This window comes from Homo sapiens, chromosome 2 (assembly GCF_000001405.40).
Source record: "Homo sapiens chromosome 2, GRCh38.p14 Primary Assembly".
In the NCBI taxonomy this organism is placed as follows: Eukaryota; Metazoa; Chordata; class Mammalia; order Primates; family Hominidae; genus Homo; species Homo sapiens.
Window position 1 is genome coordinate 213492308 of NC_000002.12, and position 22195 is coordinate 213514502.

General features: G+C 35.4%; 1 protein-coding gene across 20 annotated transcripts in view; it reads left to right on the top strand.

Moving 5' to 3' along the window:
* The window catches only part of SPAG16 (sperm associated antigen 16), a 1126038-nt gene that overhangs the window by 207844 nt on the left and 895999 nt on the right, over nt 1-22195 (top strand). Inside the window, exon 11 of one of the 20 annotated variants that reach the window (XM_011511829.3) lies at nt 11034-14137. The exons of the other annotated variants lie outside the window; for them this stretch is intronic. Within the exon in view, the coding sequence (XP_011510131.1) occupies nt 11034-11046 (13 nt within the window). The 3' untranslated portion in view covers nt 11047-14137. Of the gene's footprint in view, nt 1-11033; nt 14138-22195 lie in introns of those variants that run through there. 20 annotated transcript variants of the gene reach the window in all.

Here is a 22195-nt window from a genome sequence, read left to right on the forward strand (position 1 = left end):
CTTTGGGAGGCTGAGGTGGGCAGATCACTAGGTCAGATTGAGACCATCCTGGCTAACACAGTGAAACCCTCTCTCTACTAAAAATACAAAAAATTAGCTGGGTGTGGTGGTGGGCGCCTGTAGTCCCAGCTACTCGGGAGGCTGAGGCAGGAGAATGGCATGAACCCGGGAGGTGGAGCTTGCAGTGAGCCAAGATCGTGCCACTGCCCTCCAGCCTAGGCGACAGAGCGAGACTCTGTCTCAAAAAACAAAAAAAAACAACCAAAAGAAAACAGATACCACCCCCTCTACAGACATACACATACAGAATCTTAGTAAGTCTACAATACAGTGTTTATTGACCCAATTATATACTTTTTTAAGGAAAAAAGAAAGTTGTTTTTTTTTTTTTTGTGCTTGGGGACTATGTATTTTTAAAATTTATTTTTGTTTTTCATTTGCCATCAGTGGAAGGAAAGTTCTTCAGCTATGGTGTGTAGGTTTCTTAACTTCAAAAATATAGCAGTAAAAGTAATGACAATGATAATGGAAATAATATCAATAACAATGCTTTGCTAAGCCTCTATAAGTGCCAGGATTCAGCTGCTGTATACACACACTATGTCTGACCTTTGTATTTCTATAAGGCAGTTATTATTTTTCTCTCTCTCTCTCGTTTCTCCTTCTCTGTCACATACATATACGAGACTCAGACACCTTGCGAATCACAAAGAAAGAATTTGTGTCAGATCTGGTTAACCCAAAGGCAAACTACAAAATAGTGAATAAGCCATGCATTATTTTAAATAAACAAAATGAAAAAAATCTCTGCTTTTATAGTTGGGCATACAATTTTGCCAGTAATACACAACTATATGACCTATGATTTGGGCAAAATGCATGACAAGCACGACCTAGGATAATTGCTATAAACTTAAATATTAAAATAAGTAGTTAGATTGTGTTTAAGTGCAGAATAATTATGTTTTTTTCCCCTCTGGAGAAACAGATTTATCAAAATGTGTTTTTATAATGTTTTTCTAACAAGGTCATAATAAAATAAATGCATATTAAAATCCAGGTAATTTAAAAATCATTGATGTATTACTAGTTTGCATTTTCATAGAGTATGGTTTCATAGGCCAAAGAACCAGACAGATTTTAAATTAAATTAGTTTAGAGAGTTTTTGAGCTCTGATTTAGGTAGATGTCTTTCTTCTACTCTTACACGATGCTTCCCATCAGCCTAGAACATGTCTTTCAGTGACTGCCACTAGTTGTTTGTTTGTTTGTTTGTTTTGTTTTTTGAGATGGAGTCTCGCTCTCTTGCCCAGACTGGAGCGCAGTGGTGTGATCTCGGCTCACTGCAGACTCCGATTCCCAGGTTCAAGGGATTCTCCTGCCTCAGCCTCCTGAGTAGCTGGGACCACAGGTGCCTGCCACCACACTTGGCTAATTTTTGTATTTTTAGAAGAGACAGGGTTTCACCATTGTGGCCAAGTTGTTTAAAAATTTTTTTTTCTTATCCGGAGAACTCCCCATCAAACCTATGCTGTTTCCTCATATCCTGCTCATTGTCTCTAAGGAGGCTGACAAAAGTGCGGACTGAATTAATAGCCTCCACTTGTCCTTGCCATTCTCCTCTGCCATCGGGTTCTCTTCCTTTCCTCTCCTGAAACTGCTCTTGCCGGTCATTAGCCACTCCCCGTGTCCACCACCAGTCATCACTCACTCATTCTCATTTTCTTCACCTCTGACCACTCCTGCTTTTCCTCTCCTGACTCCTATTATTTGCATGATTCTAGTTTTCCTGCTGACTCCCAGGCTCATATCCTTCTCAGCATCTTCAGTGAGCTGCTCCTCTCTGGCCAGATTTCTGGTTGATAGGTTGGCCCTAGACTCAACTTTATAGCTTCATCTTTTCACTCTCATTTGCAGGTGGCCTCTTCCATTCTCTGGCTTTAAATACTTTCCATATGGTGGTGTCTCCACCATGATGTCTCTCCTGAGCTTGAATATCTAATAGGTTTCTCCAAATTTTCATCTGTCCAAAAAATAACTTTGGTTTTCCCCCAAAAGACCTAATCTTCTCCTTATCTCCCTCATTTTTGCAAACGTACCAAATCTGTGTGAACTTACTCAAGCTAAAAGCCTAGGAGTCATTTTAATTCCTCATTCCCTCACCCTGCAATTCCCACCATTAAATCTACCAGAAAGTCTGATAGGTCTTTCCTCCAGAATATATTAATTTTTTCCCCACTTCTTTCTACCTGTATTACTGTGGTCATTTCTCATACTCTTGCAAAAGCCTCCTAATTTACCCTGTCTTACCCCACAATAATTCACTGGTGTCACAATAGCCAAACATATTTTGAAAATGTAAATCAGATCATCAGATTTCCTGCTTTAAATACAATGATGTCTTCCCCTTGTTGAAAAAATAAAACCCAAACTTACTACTGTGTGGCCTTTGCAAGATGAGACTCTTGCCTACCTCCTTGGCTGCATGCTCTCCCACTCTCCCTTGCCCTATCTCCTCAATGACACCAGTCTTCTCACTATTCTGCAAACATGCCACACTTATTCCTACTCCAAGGTCTTTCCACTACCTTCTCCACAGACTCCCAGTATTACTTCTCCAGTTTTTACATGTCTAGCTCATTCTAACCTCTCTTAGCTCAAATGTTACCTCCTCAGAGAGGCAGTGCCTGAAAAATGTAGCTAATATTTTTATTCCTCACTCCCTTAGTCACTTTCAGTCCTTTCATTCTACTTTATTTCATTCATGGTTCTCAGTAGGCATGCAGTGTTTTCCTAGTTTATGTGTGGCAGAGATGGGTAGATGCTCACCAATCCAGTTTCCTCTTCTCTGAGCCCATTGGGAGATTATATCTTCAGTTTGGAATTGAACTTGGGAATTTGGCCATGTGCCTAAAAATGACCAAAGGCAGTGCATATCACTTCCAGACCTAACCCCTAAGACTTCCAGTGGGATTCACTGTTGACTTTGAAAGTTCTAAGCCATGTGATAGAAGAAGCACGGTTCCCTGAAACATTTGTTGGTTGTAGAGTTCTCCAAACTTTATCAAGCTTTAATCTTCCAGACTAATGAGCTATCTCTTTGTGAAATTAGATGTTAGGCCACATATGATAAATGAATTTTAAAAATAAAAATATTGAAGAGATTTTCACATTCACTCATTCACACAAAAAAATGTTATTGAACACGTGTCAGGCACTACTCTGGGCAGTTAACTAACTAGACAGAAATCTGTTCTGAGGGAGATTACATTGATTGAAGGAAGAGGTAATAAGCCAATAGTGAACACATGCTGTATTTGATGGCCATAAATGCTGTAGAAAAACATAAAGTGAGACAGAGGGAAACTGAGTGTAGGATGAATTCAGTTTTAAAGAGAGTGACCGGGACTTTTCTTGAGAAAGTGATATGTAAGGGAAACCTGAAGCAGGTGATGAAGTGAGACATGTGGAGCACTAGGAAGAAAATTAGAGTCAGAGAGAACAGCAAATGCAAAGCCCTTGAGGTGGGAGCATATCCAAAATATTGTGGGAACAGCAAGGGGTCCGGCATGGACAGAATAAGTGACCCTGGAGAATAGGAGGGGGAATATAAAGTTATGTACTTGGGGATCAAAGAGCCTGTGACTTAGGGCCTTATAAATCATGGTAAAGAGGACTTTGAATTTTAATCTGAGAATGTCAGGAAGGTATTAGAGGATTTTGAACAGAAGAATTACACAGTTTTACATACATAAAAACAAGGTGTCTGTAACTGCTGTGAGGAAATTATACTGTTATAGGGGTCAAGAATAGAAGCTGGTAGACTAGTTAGCAACTATTTCAGTAATCCAAGAAAAGTATAAGGTTTCCTGGAGTAAGTTGACAGTGATATAGAGGCTAATGAATAGTCAGATTTTCATTATTTTTTTGATAGGAGAGTCGACAGGATTTTCTGTTGGGCTGGTTGTGGAGTGAAAGAAAGAATTTAAGAATGATTCCAAGGTTTTTGGCCTGAGAACAGGAAGAATAGAGTGACCATTAATTTATATGGGGAAGACTGAGGGAGGAACAGGTTTGAACAGGTTTGACATGTTAAATGATTGATGGTAATTAAACTTCTAAGTGAACTTAGATATACATAGGACACCTTGGACTGTGCTGTGAACAAAGTTCATAACTGTGTATGCTGCCTAGCGAACAGGTTCATGTCAGTACTATTCCTTGTATTTTAATTGAAACAGACACCAGAAATAAAGTTACTAAGTAGCTTTTACTGTGAAAATATGGGCATTATAGAAATGTAACTTTTGGAAAACATATAATTTAATTATTATATATGGATATGTATAATATAAGCTTTAAGTATAAAGCTTAAGTACTTAATTATACATATCCATATATACATATCCATATATATAATGCTTAAGTACTTAATTATATATATCCATATATAAACTATATTAATTAAATTATATGTTTTCAAGAGAGTATGTTATATTTTAAAATGTGAGTTTTGAAATTAAATATTTTGAAAATAATTATAGATATGTATTTTTCCAATGGATATTTAGAATAAGCTTAAATTATGTTGTAATTTTTATGTTTACATCCCATCAAAACAAACAAACAATATATTAGAGCCAAGTCTATATTTAAATTTTGCATTTCTAAGAGAAAGAACTTATACTCCATTTAGCTTCAAGAAAATTCCCCTTAGGAAGGTGATAATTACATACAATTGAAACACTTGTGATCATTACTTATAAGTATTTTACAGAATAATTTAAAATATTTTCTATAATATAAAGATACAGTCTGCTAGTTTTACAGTTTATTATCAAAGTACTAAGGTATTCAGCTATCTTCTATTAAATAATAATATTTATGCCATTAAATTTTAAGAAGAAAGGTGTACAATATGCAGCAAATATAAACATTCATTTTAATGAGCTATTTATCTTTTTGGGGTGTGTTCTATGAATAAATACATTATCTAATTAGTAGATTCAATTTTCGATTTATTTCAGATTGTCTTTAGAGCCATTGCATGTGTTTGTCTTCAACTTTAAAGTAAGTTTGTTTAGACATTGGGTTTTAAAACCTGAGCAACTATCATCTTCCAGAAGGTGTTCTACCTTGTTTTTTTTTTTTTTTATGGTCAACTCACAGCCAAAATTATGGAAAGGCTTTATCGTTGGTCACAGATGATGCACAGAGCATTTTCAATTCCAGTGTTTCATAGACTCGGTGATAGACCGACAGTTGCCCTCCTGGGACTGTAAACATTTTTCATTCTCTTTTAATTATCTAGATCTATATTAATAACCACAGTGACCTATAAGAAGGCATTGTTGGCCATACTATAATTATATATAGCAATTATGTGTAGTGCCAACAATACATAAAAATCCCACCCTTTAACTACGGTTGGTAAGAAATGAAACTATGCTTTTCTGCCTTAGGATATAGTTTCAGTTTTTGAAAAATTAAGACATTCCATTTTTACATAAAACTTTTTCTGGAGTATATTATTATGGTAAGGCAGGTCTATTTCCATGGACTGACAATACATTAAGAATATTCCAATAAATATAGAAAGCATCTCTCACTCCAGCTTCCTCCTTAGCTACATACTGGTATTTCCTATTACATACTGTATAACAGAAAGGGAAATGCAAGTTCAAAGCAAAGGTTAATCTTTGTAATGCAGAATGTCAGAGAAGATGGTTTAGAACAAGTACCAATATATCTCTTGTTCTCTTTGAAAATTTATTTAGTATTTCAAACTATATTATATTCACACATGTATTCATTATTCTGTTTAAATAATTAAAGGTGGCAAGACATGGTGAAGTATGAGCAATCAGTAGTTTTGATTTAGGTGAAGCACCCATCAAGTAATGGCAGTAGTAATTGCCATTTGCCAATGTCTTGGCAAGTTGAGGTGAAACCAATGTCTTTAGTCCGTGTTAAAGTCAATGCATGTGGAATGGTATCCCATAATTGACTTACTTATTTTTTTTATGATGAATGGGTTGTAAACATCAGTGCCTGTGTCATAGATCTAAATCTTAAACCAATTTTGGCAATTTCTTATAGGGCCATGACTAGAGAATGATATTGTCATATTGGTTTATATCATTAAATTTTTCATATTAAAAGTGCTTTTATAGTCTAATAGAAAGTAATAAAACTTTTATTAGATTTATACACCAAACATATAAAACAATATTGATGCTCTGATTTCAATTTTTAAACTCCTGACATTATCCCAAGCTGCAATGACTGTTAATTCAGAGTACCTCATGAAATAGGACATTTCAACTTGCATGTCTTGTGAGCACCTCAAATTTAGCAGGTCTCAATACCAGCTCTCCTTTTTCATCATTTTCCTCATCTTCATGCTCACCAACTTTCTCCCATTTTATTTAATGTTATTATCATCCATATGGTCATCTAAGATGACCTGTGAGTCTTTTTAACATCCTCTTTACCACTTATTTGTCACATGCAATCCATCACTTAAGCCTGTGTATTTTATGTCCAAAATGAGTTGTTCAGTCATTCACGTCTGTCAAAGACCATCATCTGTCACTTAGGCTTCCCCAGCAGTTTCCCATGGTCTGCCTCCAGTCACTCCTCCAACTTGAATTTATCCTTCCTACTGCCATCATAGTAGTCTTTCTAAAATAGAGATCCAATATCTTATTTGTGCTTTAAAATCTTTATTTTTCAAGCCCTTAAGACACATTTGGCTCTTCCCTATGTAGCTCTAACCAATTTTTTTTTCTAGTTCTATTGTGTCCTTTGCTTCTGCACCCCTTATGCTCTATATTCAATGAAATCCCTTCATGTGTTCATGCATTGGCTCATGTTCCTTTGACCATTATGTCTGTTACCTCCTTTTTCCACTTGCAAATATTCAAGCAACCTAAAGTATGTTTCTATACTATACTAGAGCTCCTTTCTGTTCTCTTGATACTAGGTACATAACATAGAAAATGCATAATACAGGGGTGCATAGAACAGATCCTATGGATTCTAATGATTTATTTTTGTGTCTGTGTCTCCCAACACCACAGTAAGGACTCTTGAGAGCACAGATCATATCTTGTCACTATGAATAGTCCCTGACAGATAGGAAGTGACTTAATATGTGTTGAAAGAATGAATGCATGACTTAAGTTATTATGAGTGCCTATAGTTCTATAGCCAGGTTTTTCAACATACTGTGTATTATCTACTTATAACCTGGCTATCACCAGCTGTCACCCTCTCTTTTAAAATTTATTTAGCTTGAATGTCAAGAAATTTATATGAATGCCTGTGGTATAATTTTCCTACTCATTATCATAACCATAACTGGCATTCTCTGTGCATATAGGGTAGCTATAAACACTACTCTCGTAATAATTAGAGTTACTTCTGTCATATGCTCATGACCAAATTCTCTTGCCCTTTTCAGAAAGCACAAAAGAGGATCCCTTTTTTTCAGCCTGCCTTATTCTCTCAGAATTCTAGGTTTCTTACTCTTGCTTGTCTGTTTTCTCAACAGTCATCCCCCAATTCTCATACGGACTTTCTTGTCCCTGTTTCCAGACACTGGTTTCTTTAGTATTCCTAAGACTTTCACTGGATTCTTGAATCTTCTGCTTTTTCCTCATCTATTTGGCCTTCTCGATTCTAAATTTTGACAGCCAGTTAACCTTTAAACTTGAGCTTGCTAAACTGACACCTGGGTTTTCACTCCATAATCTCCCAGTTCTATTCTTTAACTGTCCAATCAGATTCTTTTGGCACCTGTATTTCATATCATTCTCCATTTGGGGAATGAGGATACACCTGACAAACCCACAGAATGCTTTCATGGGGAAACTCAGTAACAAATATAAATTTAGAGTATATTGTGTATTCTGGATTGAATCCATGGGCTTAGGACTTTTCAATTGATGAAGAGTATATGAAAGGAAAACTAGGCATTTCAGGTACATTTGATATATGAATGTCACAGATATGGAGTAAAATGTAGTCAAAATCTCCTCCCTTTTTCAATAAGACCACCAATAGGAGGAAGATAATTGATTTGGTCAAGGCCAAGAATATAATTGGGTCATATCGCTAAAACTTGCAACTTTATGTGAGAGGAGAAAAGTGGTCTTGAATCGAGAAAAACCCAGTTATTTCCCCTTGGTTTTCTTCACGCATTCAATGGTTGTATACTCAATTCCTACCTTGTGTTCTAAACATTAGGAATTAAATGGTAAGTGAGAGAGAGAGACAGAGATTTATTTCTGTGCTTCTTTTTATCATTACACTAGTACAACCTAGAGATCCAATTATTGACTATGGGCCTAGAAGAAAAGGACAGAGAACGACCAATGTTATTTTAGGCCTTAGAGTGGGGTGGTAGGTAATAGGTTGAAGGAGTCCAGCTGTCATATTTGAGAGCGGAGATAAACTAGTTTGCATTTACCCAGAGTTCTTTTTGCATATTTTCTTCAGAAGGAATTAAAAGGTGCCCGAGCAAGGACTTGGGCCTCCTAGTGTCCAAACAGCTCTAGCCCCTAATCACGGCAAAGCAATATCAGGAAAGGGATAAGAAAGTTGAAACTGTGTAGGTCATGAGTAATGAGATAATATGTTTTATGGTATACAAACACATGGGTAATTCTTGGTGAGGGTAGAGACCGTTCCCAGAGGGGAAAAAGTACCTGTATATTTCTAATCTCCTATCCAAGTACTCACCAGGTCTAACCCTGGTTAGCTTCCAAGTTTTGACAAGTTAGGGCATGTTGAGTGTGGAATGGCCATGGACTGCACATTCCTGATCTCAATAGGGAATTCTAGACTAAATCTTTTAAGGTAACTTGTTTCTGCAATAATTCTTGCAGATGCCATTGACAAGTTTTATAACTTTCATTTTGTTATGTTAAATTGGGCTAATAACAACTTCTCAAGAAGCCTAACAAATTGTTGATATTAGGTATCATTTTCCTTGCTTTAGTAATAATATTGAACATTTATTAAGCTGATAATATTAACTGCCTGAGAAATTGTGATCTAGGAATAGAAAGAATTTACCTGCATTTGTTTTACATTTATGCTTAAGGAAACTGAAATAACAGCACTTGGTGAAAAAAATATACGTCTATGTCCAAATTTTCTAGCTTTTCTTCCTAATATTTTCTTATGCAAAACACTATCAGGGAACTGACATGATAATGCCAGAAATTCTCTTCAGAGGAAGCTGAATTAGTATGTCTTAAGACCTGCTCTGTGTATTTAAACAGAATGATTGGGAAATAACTACCGTAATTTCTTAGTGATAATTTTGAGACTTTTTCTCCTTTTGTGCAAAATGTTGTAGTACATTTAAGTCTAGTTGTTTATTACATGACAATAGAGTATACTTTTCCTTTTTGTGCTTGGCAGAGAATGTACATTTATTTGTGATGTTTATGTAGATATTAAAAATAGATATTGGACTTACTATATACTAAAGCTTAGTTGTTCTAGAAAAGTAATTTTATCGATTTTAATCTTTACTGCTAGTCATATTGCTATTTACTTATTTTTCTTTTTAAAAAACAAGCCAACAAAAAATTCCTGAAAATTGTTAATTAACAGATTTAGATACTGAATTAGCCCAATCAAATGATGTCTTAGGCTATTAACCAAAGTGGTTTAAGAATTACATACATTTATTTTTATTTAGCTATTTCCAAAGTGATTTTTTAATTTAAATAGTGGCTTTTATTCTGGAATAGGACATAGTAAGTAAAACCTTTAAAAAAAATTCAAACGTTGTATCTTTGTTGTTGTTGCTGTTCTTTTTTGAGACAGAATCTCATCCTGTCACTCAGGCTGGAGAGCAGTGGCATGAAGAGGGCTCAGTGCAGCCTGGACCCCCAGGGATCAAGCAGTCCTCCTGTCTCAGCCTCCCCCGTAGCTGAGACCACTGGCATGCACCAGCTATTTAAAAAATTTTTTTTTTCTGTAGAGATGGGGTCTTGCCATGTTTCCCAGGCTGATCTTAAATTCCTGGGCTCAAGCGATTCTTCTGCCTCAGCCTCCCAAATTGCTAGGATTACAGGCATGAGCCACTGCACCTGTCTCAAAATTTCCTTTTTATACAAGGAACCACATTTATAAATAAAAATATTTTATTTTTTATTTGTTCACCCTACTATAAAGTCATTTAGATGAAAGTAGAAACTTTGAAATAATAGGCTAAATAAAAATGTGATTTATGAATTAGTTTATGAATTTCTATTAAGAGATCAGCAAACAGTTATGCTTAAATCTTGGATGATGTTACCACAATGATGATCACAATGAACATTTTTTGAAAAGTTGAACCAATCACGTTAAAGGCTTTTCACATAATTTCTCATTTAATCCTATGAACAGTTCTTTAATATGGTACTATTATTCATCCATTTTACAGAGGAGTATATAGCAGTTGCCCACTTTCCCATCTGAATATCTGAATCTCCTACTGGCTATCAACTTCTTTGGGAAAGAACTGGCTCTTCTTTACATATTCTAGCATAGTAGAGCTTATGACAACATAGTTGGCACTTAAAACACAGTGACTTGATGAATGAATGAGTTCCTAGAAAACAGTGAGTCTGAATTTTCTAGTCAAGTCATATGTACAACAGAAGGGTCAAATATAGGTGAGTTTTAAAGACTCTTCTTAATAAGTATGAGTTAGCCAGTTTCTCAACCTTAGACATTTACCCTTGATTCCCATCTATATATCATGAAAATTTAATAGTACCGATTACTATGTATCTGTTTATGTATCTTGGACTTTTGGAAGTCCACAAAACATTCTAATATCTAATATTGTTTCACCTCCCCCATGAATCAATTTTTTGCCTCTGTTGGGGCAGCTTTGCTCTGATTGAGAATATATGAGTTAAGCAATGGGTGAAGACATTGAAATGTTGATTTCCTCAGAAAGGAGGGATGTAGGGTTTTGCTCTTTGCCTACCTTCTTTATGTGCCTCACCATCTTGTTTTCACAGTGCTTCCTTTTAGATATCTTTATGACATTGCCATAAAAGGTCATGTTGGCATATTACCTTAAAATACTGAAAAGGTACCATTTTAGAAGAACATTTGATGATGAAGTGAAGCAACAGCCCCATTGCTCCTCACCACCCCTCATGCCCTTCAGGTCTGATTTAACCTGTAATGTGACTTCAATATTTTAAGGTGAGATCAACCTTTTCTTTTTGGAGAGGTATTCATAAAAAGGCTAATGACCCACTTGTGCTCATAAGGAATGACACAGGGAAACCTGGGGGACAAAGCTACCAACTTTTCTTCTTTGGAGGAAATTTTCCCTTAGCTTAGCACTATCCTTAAAAATAAATCATTAAACAAGAACAATTTTGTGACAAGGAATAAAGGGAAATTGGTAAATGAAAGTGAAATGGTAAAATACAGAGGTTTAAGAGTTTAAAATTAAATAAATTAAAATGTGGAAATGTAACCGGACCCAGGTTCAGCTCCTCACCACTTGAAAGCCAAACACAGAAGGTGAGGGTTAGTGGGAGGAAAAGCAGGTTTTAATTGGAAAGCCAGCAAACTGAGAACATAGTGAACTAGTACTCTAAAATACCATCTTAAATTTTACAGTTTACCATAGGATTTTTTAAGGGGAACTTTGTATGGCAGACATGTGGGAGTGGTGCAGGGTGCAGGGTCTGCGTGTCTTGTTCTCGTGGCTATCTTGTGAGTTATTGCTGGTCTGGAAGTCTGATTGGCATTATCTTCACTCTCCCCAATAGTGGTGGAATGATTGTTTGTGACTCTTGCTAAGCGGAAGGACTATGCAGGGGCTCCATGCCTGGTTTGTAGCAAGATTAGATTTTGGAATTTCTTAAGCAAGAACATAATTAGATTAGCATGCATTGCCAGAGGGCAGTGTGTAGAGAGGGAAGGAATGAAGAAGTGAAAGTGGAGGGAAGGAAGAAAAAGAAAGAGGGTGATATTTAAAACCTGGGTCCCTGGTTATGGTAATAAAACAAAACATCTTTAAATTTTAATCAGGGACACACTTTAAGAAATAAAGATTAAAGGTATTAAAATAAAAGAAATTGAGAGGTTAAAAACCTGAAAGTAGAAGGCAGCAAATAAAAAAGTTGAACTTGAGGGCAAAAAAATTATTTTTAGTTTAAAAATAAAGACAACTAGGGATTTCTTTATATGCCTAGTAAACAAAAATATATTAGAAGATAAAGAAGGCTTGTTGGAAATAGGGAGACTAAAGATAAAAGAAGTAAGGATCCACTTGAAGTTTGAAAAGGGGGCAATTTAAAACAACTAGCAAGAATTAAAGCAATTGGAAACCATAAAATAATGGCAAGCTGCTAGGCTATAAAACTGTATGTTCTATGAAGATGTAAGAAAGAAAATATGGTGGAAAATGGGGAAAAAAGGGGAAGTTTATAAAAGCTCCAAGCTATAATCAAGTGAGGTTGAATTCTGGCTAAATGTCCCTGTGGAGATGTGCAAAATGCATACATTTATAGGAGCCCATTTACTTTCACCTGATCTTAGGCCCTGCCTGTCAGTGTGCCACAGACTTGCCCAGATTGGCAAAAAATTCATGCCCTTCGGAATTTTCCAAGGCAATGTGCTCTGTGTCTCACAGTCTTTCCCCCTCAGACTTGCTCCACAGCATAGATAAACACTTATTTTGGTTCGAGGAAGAGCATTTAAGTACTGGCATTCATTCAAAATATCATTTGTATCAGTGACATTTTGGTATTTATTATCATTTATAACAGCAACTGTTTTGTATAAATATAAGTAGACCTTTCTACTTGACAACTGTGACCTTTAATTTCACCTGGACTGCACATATTATATATAATGGAGATTTAAAGAGTATTATAGAAATGGATAGGGGGTATCAATTTCAAATGTACAATGTCAAAACTACTAGCTGCAGTTGAAATGAAATTTATATGTGGACACAATTTTTTTTTACCTTTTTTGGTTTTGTTTTTCTTTTTTAAATTATTTGGAGATAATGAGTAAAATTCTACTATATTCTGGTAGCATCACTCTGCAAGATTTACTCTACCATACAAATGTATGTTTTTTGGTATTCTATTTTGAAAGGTTGTGTTGTTATAATATTGGTATTGAAAATATTGATGAGTTAATATTTTAAAACATAAGTTAGTATTTATTTGGTTAGGATGAAGCAGTTGATGATAATGACAACTTTTAACTGCAGGTAAAATTGCTAAATAATACATAATTACGTACAACTTGTGGCAGCTTTGTATTTAGAGATAATGATGTTTAATTGGGTGTTTTTCTTTTAAAATGAAAATGAGTTTATTCTTTTTTTAATAGAGTAATGCATGCTCCCCTTTACTTCACTTTTCAAATACCAAAACAGATAAACCCTATTAACAATTTGGATAACCATTATCCTTTTAGAAATCCCTACAAGCCCCATCCCTCCACACCCAGTCAGGATCATATAAAGACTATTCTGAAACTTGCTTTATGCAGTTAAGACCTTGTGACTATCCTTCTGTGTTAGCCATTCCATCCTTGTTTATATATCTGATTAATATTAATAAATCATATATAATAATATATCATCATTTTTATAAATAACAGCTCTGATTATATTTTAATATAGCTCTTTATGTACTTGTCTGCTTCATTTGGATTTCTTTGTAATTTATGAGATTTTTGTACTTTTCCTATTTGTATTAGATATTTATGGATACAATATATTTCTGGGGTTAAGTTACCTTCTAGAATTAAACTACGTCTATCTAAGTTACCTTCTAGAATTAAACTAAGTCTATTAAACTAAATCTATTTAAGTGCTTAATTTAAGGAAATAAGGACAATAGATGAGAAGATAGTTCTTGATGCAATAATATTTTTATTTCTATGTATTATATAGAAACATGTTAATTATTTTAGCTATTGACTTGTAGTGAATTTATTTTCTTCTACTAGAGTATATGTGAGGGTAAACAGGAATATTCCATTAATCATTGTAAAAATGTATATACATTATAAATTTCATAATGCCAGGATATAATGTGATAGGTATAAATGCTTTCACTTAATAAATTTTATCCCAAGTGTGTCAAGTTATATTTTTTTTACATTAAAGTAAAAAGAATTTCTGTCTGCCTAATTTCCTTCTACACCTTTTTCATTTATGGACCACTTTAACTCATGGTGATTAGAAATCCTTCCTCATCTTATCTCGAACCCTCATCTCAGCTCCTCGTGGACTGAGGTTTATTAAATGATTTCCTGACGGCCATTTTGAAGACTATTTATCACCTGAACCATGCTGCCATCCCATCTGCTACCAATATAAATTGGGATGCCTTATGTTGCGAGTGACTGAAAATGCAACAAAATTTGATTTAAAGATGAAATGAAATTATTGGATTAATTAATTAAAAAGATCAGAAGTAGGAATAGCTGCAGGTTAAGCTTGATTTGCTGCCTTAAAGATATTACCAAATACCTGATCTTAACTGTTTTCTGTCTTTTGTATCAGCATTATCCTCAGTTCTTCTTTCATGGTAGCAAAATGGCTGAAGCAATTTTAGACATCATATGCTTTCACAATGCTCTCTAGGAAAAGAGACTCTCTTTCCATTATCTTTCAAAGAAACAAAATGTAAGTTCTCTTTCCTGCAAGCTTAGGCAAATGCCTCCCTGTGTTGCATTGACTAATCAAATTAAGTGCTACCCCAGAGTTGAAAACTGTTACCAGGGAGAATGACCACTGTATCAAGAAAGCTATCAAAACTTACCCTAAAGGTGGGGATAAGTTTGAACTGATAATGAAAGGAGAGGGTTGGGGGAAGATTCCTTTAAAAAATGCCTGGGTATTATTACCAGAAAGAAAGGGAATGATGCTAAATAATTATACATTGTACTGCTCAAGTTTCCATCACTGGTGTCTCTGAGTTTTGGCACCGTTGTTTTAAAGACCCTGTTCTTGTACTATTTAGTATTGCATAGTACAAATAAAATTACCACTGATATCAGGCATTCAGCCTTTTATTTGGCAATATTCATCAAATATACTCAGAACGTTGTTCTATGTCCTGGACAGACCAAACAAAAGAAAACACATCTCATGATAGTTTAAGTATTAGATTAAATGACCTACATAATAGTAGGTGATACGATTTCTGGAGCATGGTATGTCCTCAGTAGATGATAGTCTTTCATTTTGCCTATTTAGAATAGGCAGCCCTCCTTTTCAGCAATGTAGTGACCTGAGACAGGGCCTTATCAACTATGAATATATCTTTAAGACATTCTTTACCTACTCACCTGGACCTCTAAGTGTTACTTATACCTATTGAAACTCACCTTTGATTTCTGGTGCTGTTTGACTTGAGATGGGGCTAATTTGTTGACAGGATGATTCGATCTCCCCACTGAATCTCTGCTGCCATCTCTTTTCTGTCTTCTTAGGTGCTCACCTGTGTGATTCTAGAAGGCGGGTCTGCTTCAGCTCTGATCACTCTCTATTATCCCTTCATTTTCCTCTAAGTAAACAATCATTAATCAATAGTGTATGGTAAGAGACAGCAGTTTTATGTAGAGAAGTAGATTACTCATTTGACTGGGGCAAGAGCTTCAGGTAAAATAAATGATTGATACTTTAAGCTCACTAAATTGAAACAATAGCCATCACATTGTATGCTTTGCTGTGGTGATTCCTCAGGGATCTAGAACTAGAAATACCATTTGACCCAGCCATCCCATCACTGGGTATATACCCAAAGGATTATAAATCATGCTGCTATAAATACACATGCACACGTATGTTTATTGCAGCACTATTCACAATAGCAAAGACTTGGATCCAAGCCAAATGTCCAACAATGATAGACTGGATTAAGAAAATGTGGCACATATACACCATGGAATACCATGCAGCCATAAAAAATGATGAGTTCGGCTGGGCGCGGTGGCTCACGCCTGTAATCCCAGCACTTTGGGAGGCCGAGGCGGGTGGATCATGAGGTCAGGAGATCGAGACCATCCTGACTAACAAGGTGAAACCCCGTCTCTACTAAAAATACAAAAAATTAGCCGGGCGCGGTGGCGGGCGCCTGTAGTCCCAGCTACTGGGGAGGCTGAGGCAGGAGAATGGCGTGAACCCGGGAAGCGGAGCTTGCAGTGAGCCGAGATTGCGCCACTGCAGTCTGCAGTCCGGCCTGGGCGACAGAGTGAGACTCCGTCTCAAAAGAAAAAAAAAAATGATGAGTTCATGTCCTTTGTAGGGACATGGATGAAGCTGGAAACCATCATTCACAGCAAACTGTCGCAAGGACAAAAAACCGAACACCACGTGTTCTCACTCATAGGTGGGAATTGAACAATGAGAACACATGGACACAGGAAGGGGAACATCACATACCGGGGCCTGTTGTGGGGTTGGGGGAGTGGGGAGGGATAGCATTTGGAGATATACCTAATGTTAAATGACGAGTTACTGGGTGCAGCGCACCAACATGGCACATGTATACATATGTAACTAACCTGCACATTGTGCACATGTACCCTAAAACTTAAAGTATAATTAAAAAAAAAAAAGTCCCACAGCCTTTAACTCCTTTTACTGACTGTGTTGTTATTTTCTATACAATATTTTCTTTTCTTTTCTTTTCTTTTTTTTTTGAGATGGAGTCTCACTCTTTCACCCAGGCTGGAGTGCAGTGATGCAATCTCGGCTCACTGCAGTCTCCGCCTTCCAAGTTCAAGTGATTCTTCTGCCTCAGCCTCCCGAGTAGCTGGGATTAAAGGCACCTGCCACCACACCCAGCTAATTTTTTATATTTTTAGAAGAGACGGGGTTTCACCATCTTGGTCAGGCTGGTCTTGAATTCCTGATCTCGTGATCCACCCGCCTCGGCCTCCAAAAGTGCTGGGATTTCTATACAATATTTTCTATATTTTCTATTTCCAGATAGAGTAGACCAAAGTAATTGATGACCTCATAAGCATGTTTCATAAATGTCTCTGAGAGATTCACTATGTCTTATTAAACCTTTGCCTGAAATCTTCTTGCATTATTAGAGAGAATTAAGGTCAAAAACAAGGAAGGAAAAGAAATAAGCAGTTTTATTTATCTACCCATCCATTCACCCTTCTACACTTTCATCCATCTGTCCATCTAACCTCTATTTACTCATCTATTGATAGACTAGAAAGATAAATACCAAAATGTACGGGATATAATCTCCTGGTATGCCGTTGGAATAAAGATGTTCTTTGAAACCAACGAGAACAAAGACACAACATACCAGAATCTCTGGGACACATTCAAAGCAGTGTGTAGAGGGAAATTTATAGCACTAAATGCCCACAAGAGAAAGCATGAAAGATCTAAAATTGACACCCTAACATCACAATTAAAAGAACTAGAAAAGCAAGAGCGAACACATTCAAAAACTAGCAGAAGGCAAGAAATAACTAAAATCAGAGCAGAACTGAAGGAAATTGAGACACAAAAAACCCTTCAAAAATTAATGAATCCAGCAGCTGGTTTTTTGAAAGGATCAACAAAATTGATAGACTGCTAGCAAGACTAATAAAGAAGAAAAGAGAGAAGAATCAAATAGACGCAATACAAAATGATAAAGGGGATATCACCACCGATCCTACAGAAATACAAACTACCATCAGAGAATACCATAAACACCTCTACACAAATAAACTAGAAAATCTAGAAGAAATGGATAAATTCCTTGAGATTTATCCTGGATAAATGATTTTTACTAGGCCCTGGAAAATTTAGACATCCCTCATATAGCACTTTTTGAAATCTGAAATCCTAGTTATTTTCATATCACTTCAAACCCTTCCTGGAGATATTGGGTCCATCCATAATAGGACAAAGTTTCTAGTGTAGTTTATGGGTTTTAGTCCTCAACCATAGCAAAAGGACATAGCTGCAGTTTGGTATGATTTTAATATAAGTACTTGGATAGATTGGGATACATTTAATAAATTTAGTGAGATAACTAATCACATTCTTTAACTATTTAACATTTTTTTTATTATTTTATTTTTTTACAGATGATAGTCATGTACATTAGTATAACATGCTGTCACCATTGGTGAGGCATTCAATGAACTTTCAATTGTGAATCTTTAATGTCCTTGCAAGATATAAATTCATATTAAATTTCAACGTAATATGGAATATATTTGACTCGGATATATGTAACTGGAAACAACTTTAACTTGGATATTTGTTAAAGCTCAGGGACCAGCAATGTGGGTTTTCGCGTTACACTGCCTACACTATCACTTGTTGACTGTGCAACCTTTGTATTGATAACTGGACTTAGTACAGGCATAATTTTTTAATCTGACAAGTGTACTTGACCATGAAACATCAACTTTACTGAACTGTGAGTGGATTAAGTGAGAAACATGTGTCATATAGTAAATACTTAATGGAATATACCTATGTTTACCTAGTTATAATTAATATGTTACTTGTATTTCTAAATATATTTCCAATCCTGGAACCAATTTATAGTTCATCTTATTGAAACCAAAGTTTAAAACACTTGCTTTTTCATTTTGTGATGTTTAAACTGCCATATAAGTAATTCTGGTTTATAAAAGCATCTCAGTTATGATAATAATAGCATTTTAATTTTGAAAGCCCTTTGGAAAAGTTATTTTGAATATTAAAATATTAAAAATGCTAAATGGCATTTGGGTATATGAATATGTAAGTAAAATATTAATATAAAGTTCTTGACTTATTTTTAATAATTATCTCTTTCATACAACGCTATCCTGTTGGTATTCAGATTTTACACATTGACTGACATTCAGACTGACTTGGCAGAATATTTTTATATGACGTTATTAGCTTTTTATGACAACTAAGCAAAGAGAGCACCAGTAAGTAACTAGATTCTTTGAGCTAGGATGATTCTCAAATCCCATCACTTTTAAAATATCAGTGAAAAAACTAACATGATTTGAAGGCTAGTTTAAAATAAAATACCATCGTTTCGAGATTTGGAAAAAATGTATAGTTAAATAAATCACTTAGTGTCTTCTTGAACTATAATTCTGCATTTTTGTTAGGGGTAATTTTAAATAAATTGGTTCTAAAGGCAAAATTCAATTTAAGAAAATAAATGTTAGATTTTTCTATAGCATAATTATTATTTCCTTTTTTTAAAAAAATCTTATTTCACCCTCAAGCACATCAAAAAGAATAGTTGCCACCTAGAAAGGGCCTTTGTGCTTTGTATGTGTATCATGCTTTGTTTTTCTCTGGTATTTCTTATCTTCATATAACAATAGCTTTTAGCATTGTATTTTAAATTAAAAATGTTCTACTATCAAACTTATTCTAGTGAGATTTCTTGCCTTTCAAAATTACAGTATTTTATTTCCTTTAAGTGTCTCATATTCATTCTGTTTTCACCCTTGATAGATGTAAAGTCATATTATAGAGCTATATAAAACAGGGTGGCCAATCTACTAAAAATAAAATACAAAAGCATATTTTTTTTCAAAATCTCATTTTTTAGTAAAACATTTGCACTCACAATACTTTAGTTTTGAGCTTTGTTTTCTTTATGAAGTCCAGAAAAACATTATAGATGTCTAATTTTTCTCCTCTGGAGAAAAATAAAATAAAATATATTACACCCCTTTTATAGAGAAGCACAGATTATATTTTAGCTTAATTAGCTAAAATCACAACAGTCATGGTTATCAATGAATAACAGTCATACTTACAGTATGTTATTGCAATGGTGAAACAAATTTTCAGTGGCACTGAAAAGGCAATAAGAGGTAGAATTCAGTTAAAATTCAATGATGAGGGAAAGAAGCATATAAAGGGGAAAGAAGATAAACAAACTAGACTTTTGAACAAGGTGGAGTATACATTTACTGATTTTTCTGTAGTATGATAAAGTTAGAGAGACAGACAAAATGGACTTGAAACAAGGTATACATCAGTTGTCATATCGTATTGCAAGAAAAAATTATTTTTTGCACTCAAGCTACAGAGCCCTAAACCTATCAGGCCATGTAAGGGAAGTGCTTCCTGTATTAATTACTAAAGACCATGTGAGGGAACTGCTTCCTATATAATTACTGGAAAAAATGATGAAAGATTGAGAACTATTGATTCACATCACATAGCATAAACTTTGTGTGAACTGGCACTTTAATTTATAGCCCTAAAAATTCGGCTAGGAGACTGGAGCTGTCACTGGACCTTTGTACAAGAGAAGGGTGTGGCTGCTAAACCAAGAGATTAAGAGCCCAGCACTGTGCAGGTCAGATTGACTCCATCTGGCCCCTAGCAGTTTCACCAAACACTGCCAGGATTTTCCAAAATAAGTATCCCCCATCACATATCATTACTTTCTGCTGAACAGATTATAAAGTACTATCTCCAGGCATTTCCTGCGTTTATTGGGAACTGGAAGTTTTGAATCCTCATTGACTTGAAAGAGACTGCCAACAATCAAACCTAGTCATTATGGCACTCCCACCAAGACTGGAAATAGCCCCAAACTGCTGCTGGTAATTCCTGATATCCTCAGCTTTCTTATCTTCCATACATATTAATTTTGTCAGCAGGGTAGTTCTTTAGGGCCCTCAGAGTGCTTCTGGAACCTGTGGAGATTCATTAATGGAGTCTGGTTGTAATGCATTCAGCTAACTCCTTTTAAAGCTATACCTGATGTCATGCTGTCTGTTCTATGATCCTCTTTTCCACTGTCACGTGTGTATGTATGTTTTGTTTTGTCTGTTTCTTGTTTTATCACCTAATTGCTTGTCTTTTTATCCTTGACTTGCTGTTTTGTAAAGAACTTAGCATTTATATCTTCTATGCTTCTCTATGCCCTATATTTTCAAAGGCTCATTCCAAACCTAACGTGGTCATACACTGTGGCTGAACCATATTCTACCTTCAATGAATGCACCACTTTGAGGATGGGGACCTACAATTTTTGAAGTCTCTTCTGTATCTGTGCTTCCAATATTCCATTTCTATGCATGTTCTCAGGCAATTTGGGGTTCACACAGTTATAAAATAAGTTTATTTCTCATTCAAACCTGGGCAATGGAGATGTTCCTATTTCGATAGCTTTTCTGAGCATCTTTTTTTTTTGCAAGTGGTGACCCATGGAATCTCAGGGATTTAGGATCTTTCTAATTTTGTAATACTGGTGTCTTCGACACATGACCTTCAAGATTTTGAGAAGGGTGAAAACAGAATGGGATGGGAGTTTTATGGCCAGCCCTGGGAGTGTTATACATTTTCAGAGCTAGATGCAAGGAAGACTGGACAATGTGTGCTAAAGTTAAAGCACATAGCGGAATCTCTGTCACATCGTCTTTCTGCTTTATACTTAAGCTGGTCCCCTTCATATTTATGAGGTGGCTGCTTGCTGTATAATTTTATACTTAAGCTGGTCCCCTTCATATTTATGAGTTGGCTGCTTCCTGTGTAATTACTAACAGGCCATTTGCAGCAGCAAATGTTATATCCAGTGGGAGAGAGGAAGAAAACTTCTCTCTCAATCATAGATTGCAAATCTTTTCTTATAGCTTTGGTCAGAAAGTATGGAGGAGGATTGAGCAACCAGACAAAATTAGGATTTTGTAAGGAGAGGAAGGAGCGGTAAATAGATACCAGACAGTTAATCTATCGTGAGTATGACAAAGAATCAAGACAGAATGGTATCACAGAACAAAGAGAGTAGAGAGTTTTGAAAAGATGGAGTGCCCAAACAGGATTATAATGATGCTAATTTTAGAAATTAGATGGTCCTTGGAAGCTCCGTATAAATAGTCCCAAAGAAGTCATGAGATTATTTCTCACATTATGGTTTATGGAGAAGTGCATGAAAGCTGAGGAAATGGGCCCTTGGTATTTATTCATAATGCTGTGCTCCATGCAGTTGACTTTACTTCCTAAATAAATGTTGCATTCTTGATGAAAGTTTAGGCTAAATACAGTGAGCCCTCAACTTTGAAGATAATATAAGAATATTATCATAATTAGAGTTTACATCATTTAAAAATATAATTTGCTTCATTAAAAATTACTATTAGAAATTTATAATTTTGTCGGCATATTTTTTTTTATTATACTTTAAGTTTTAGGGTA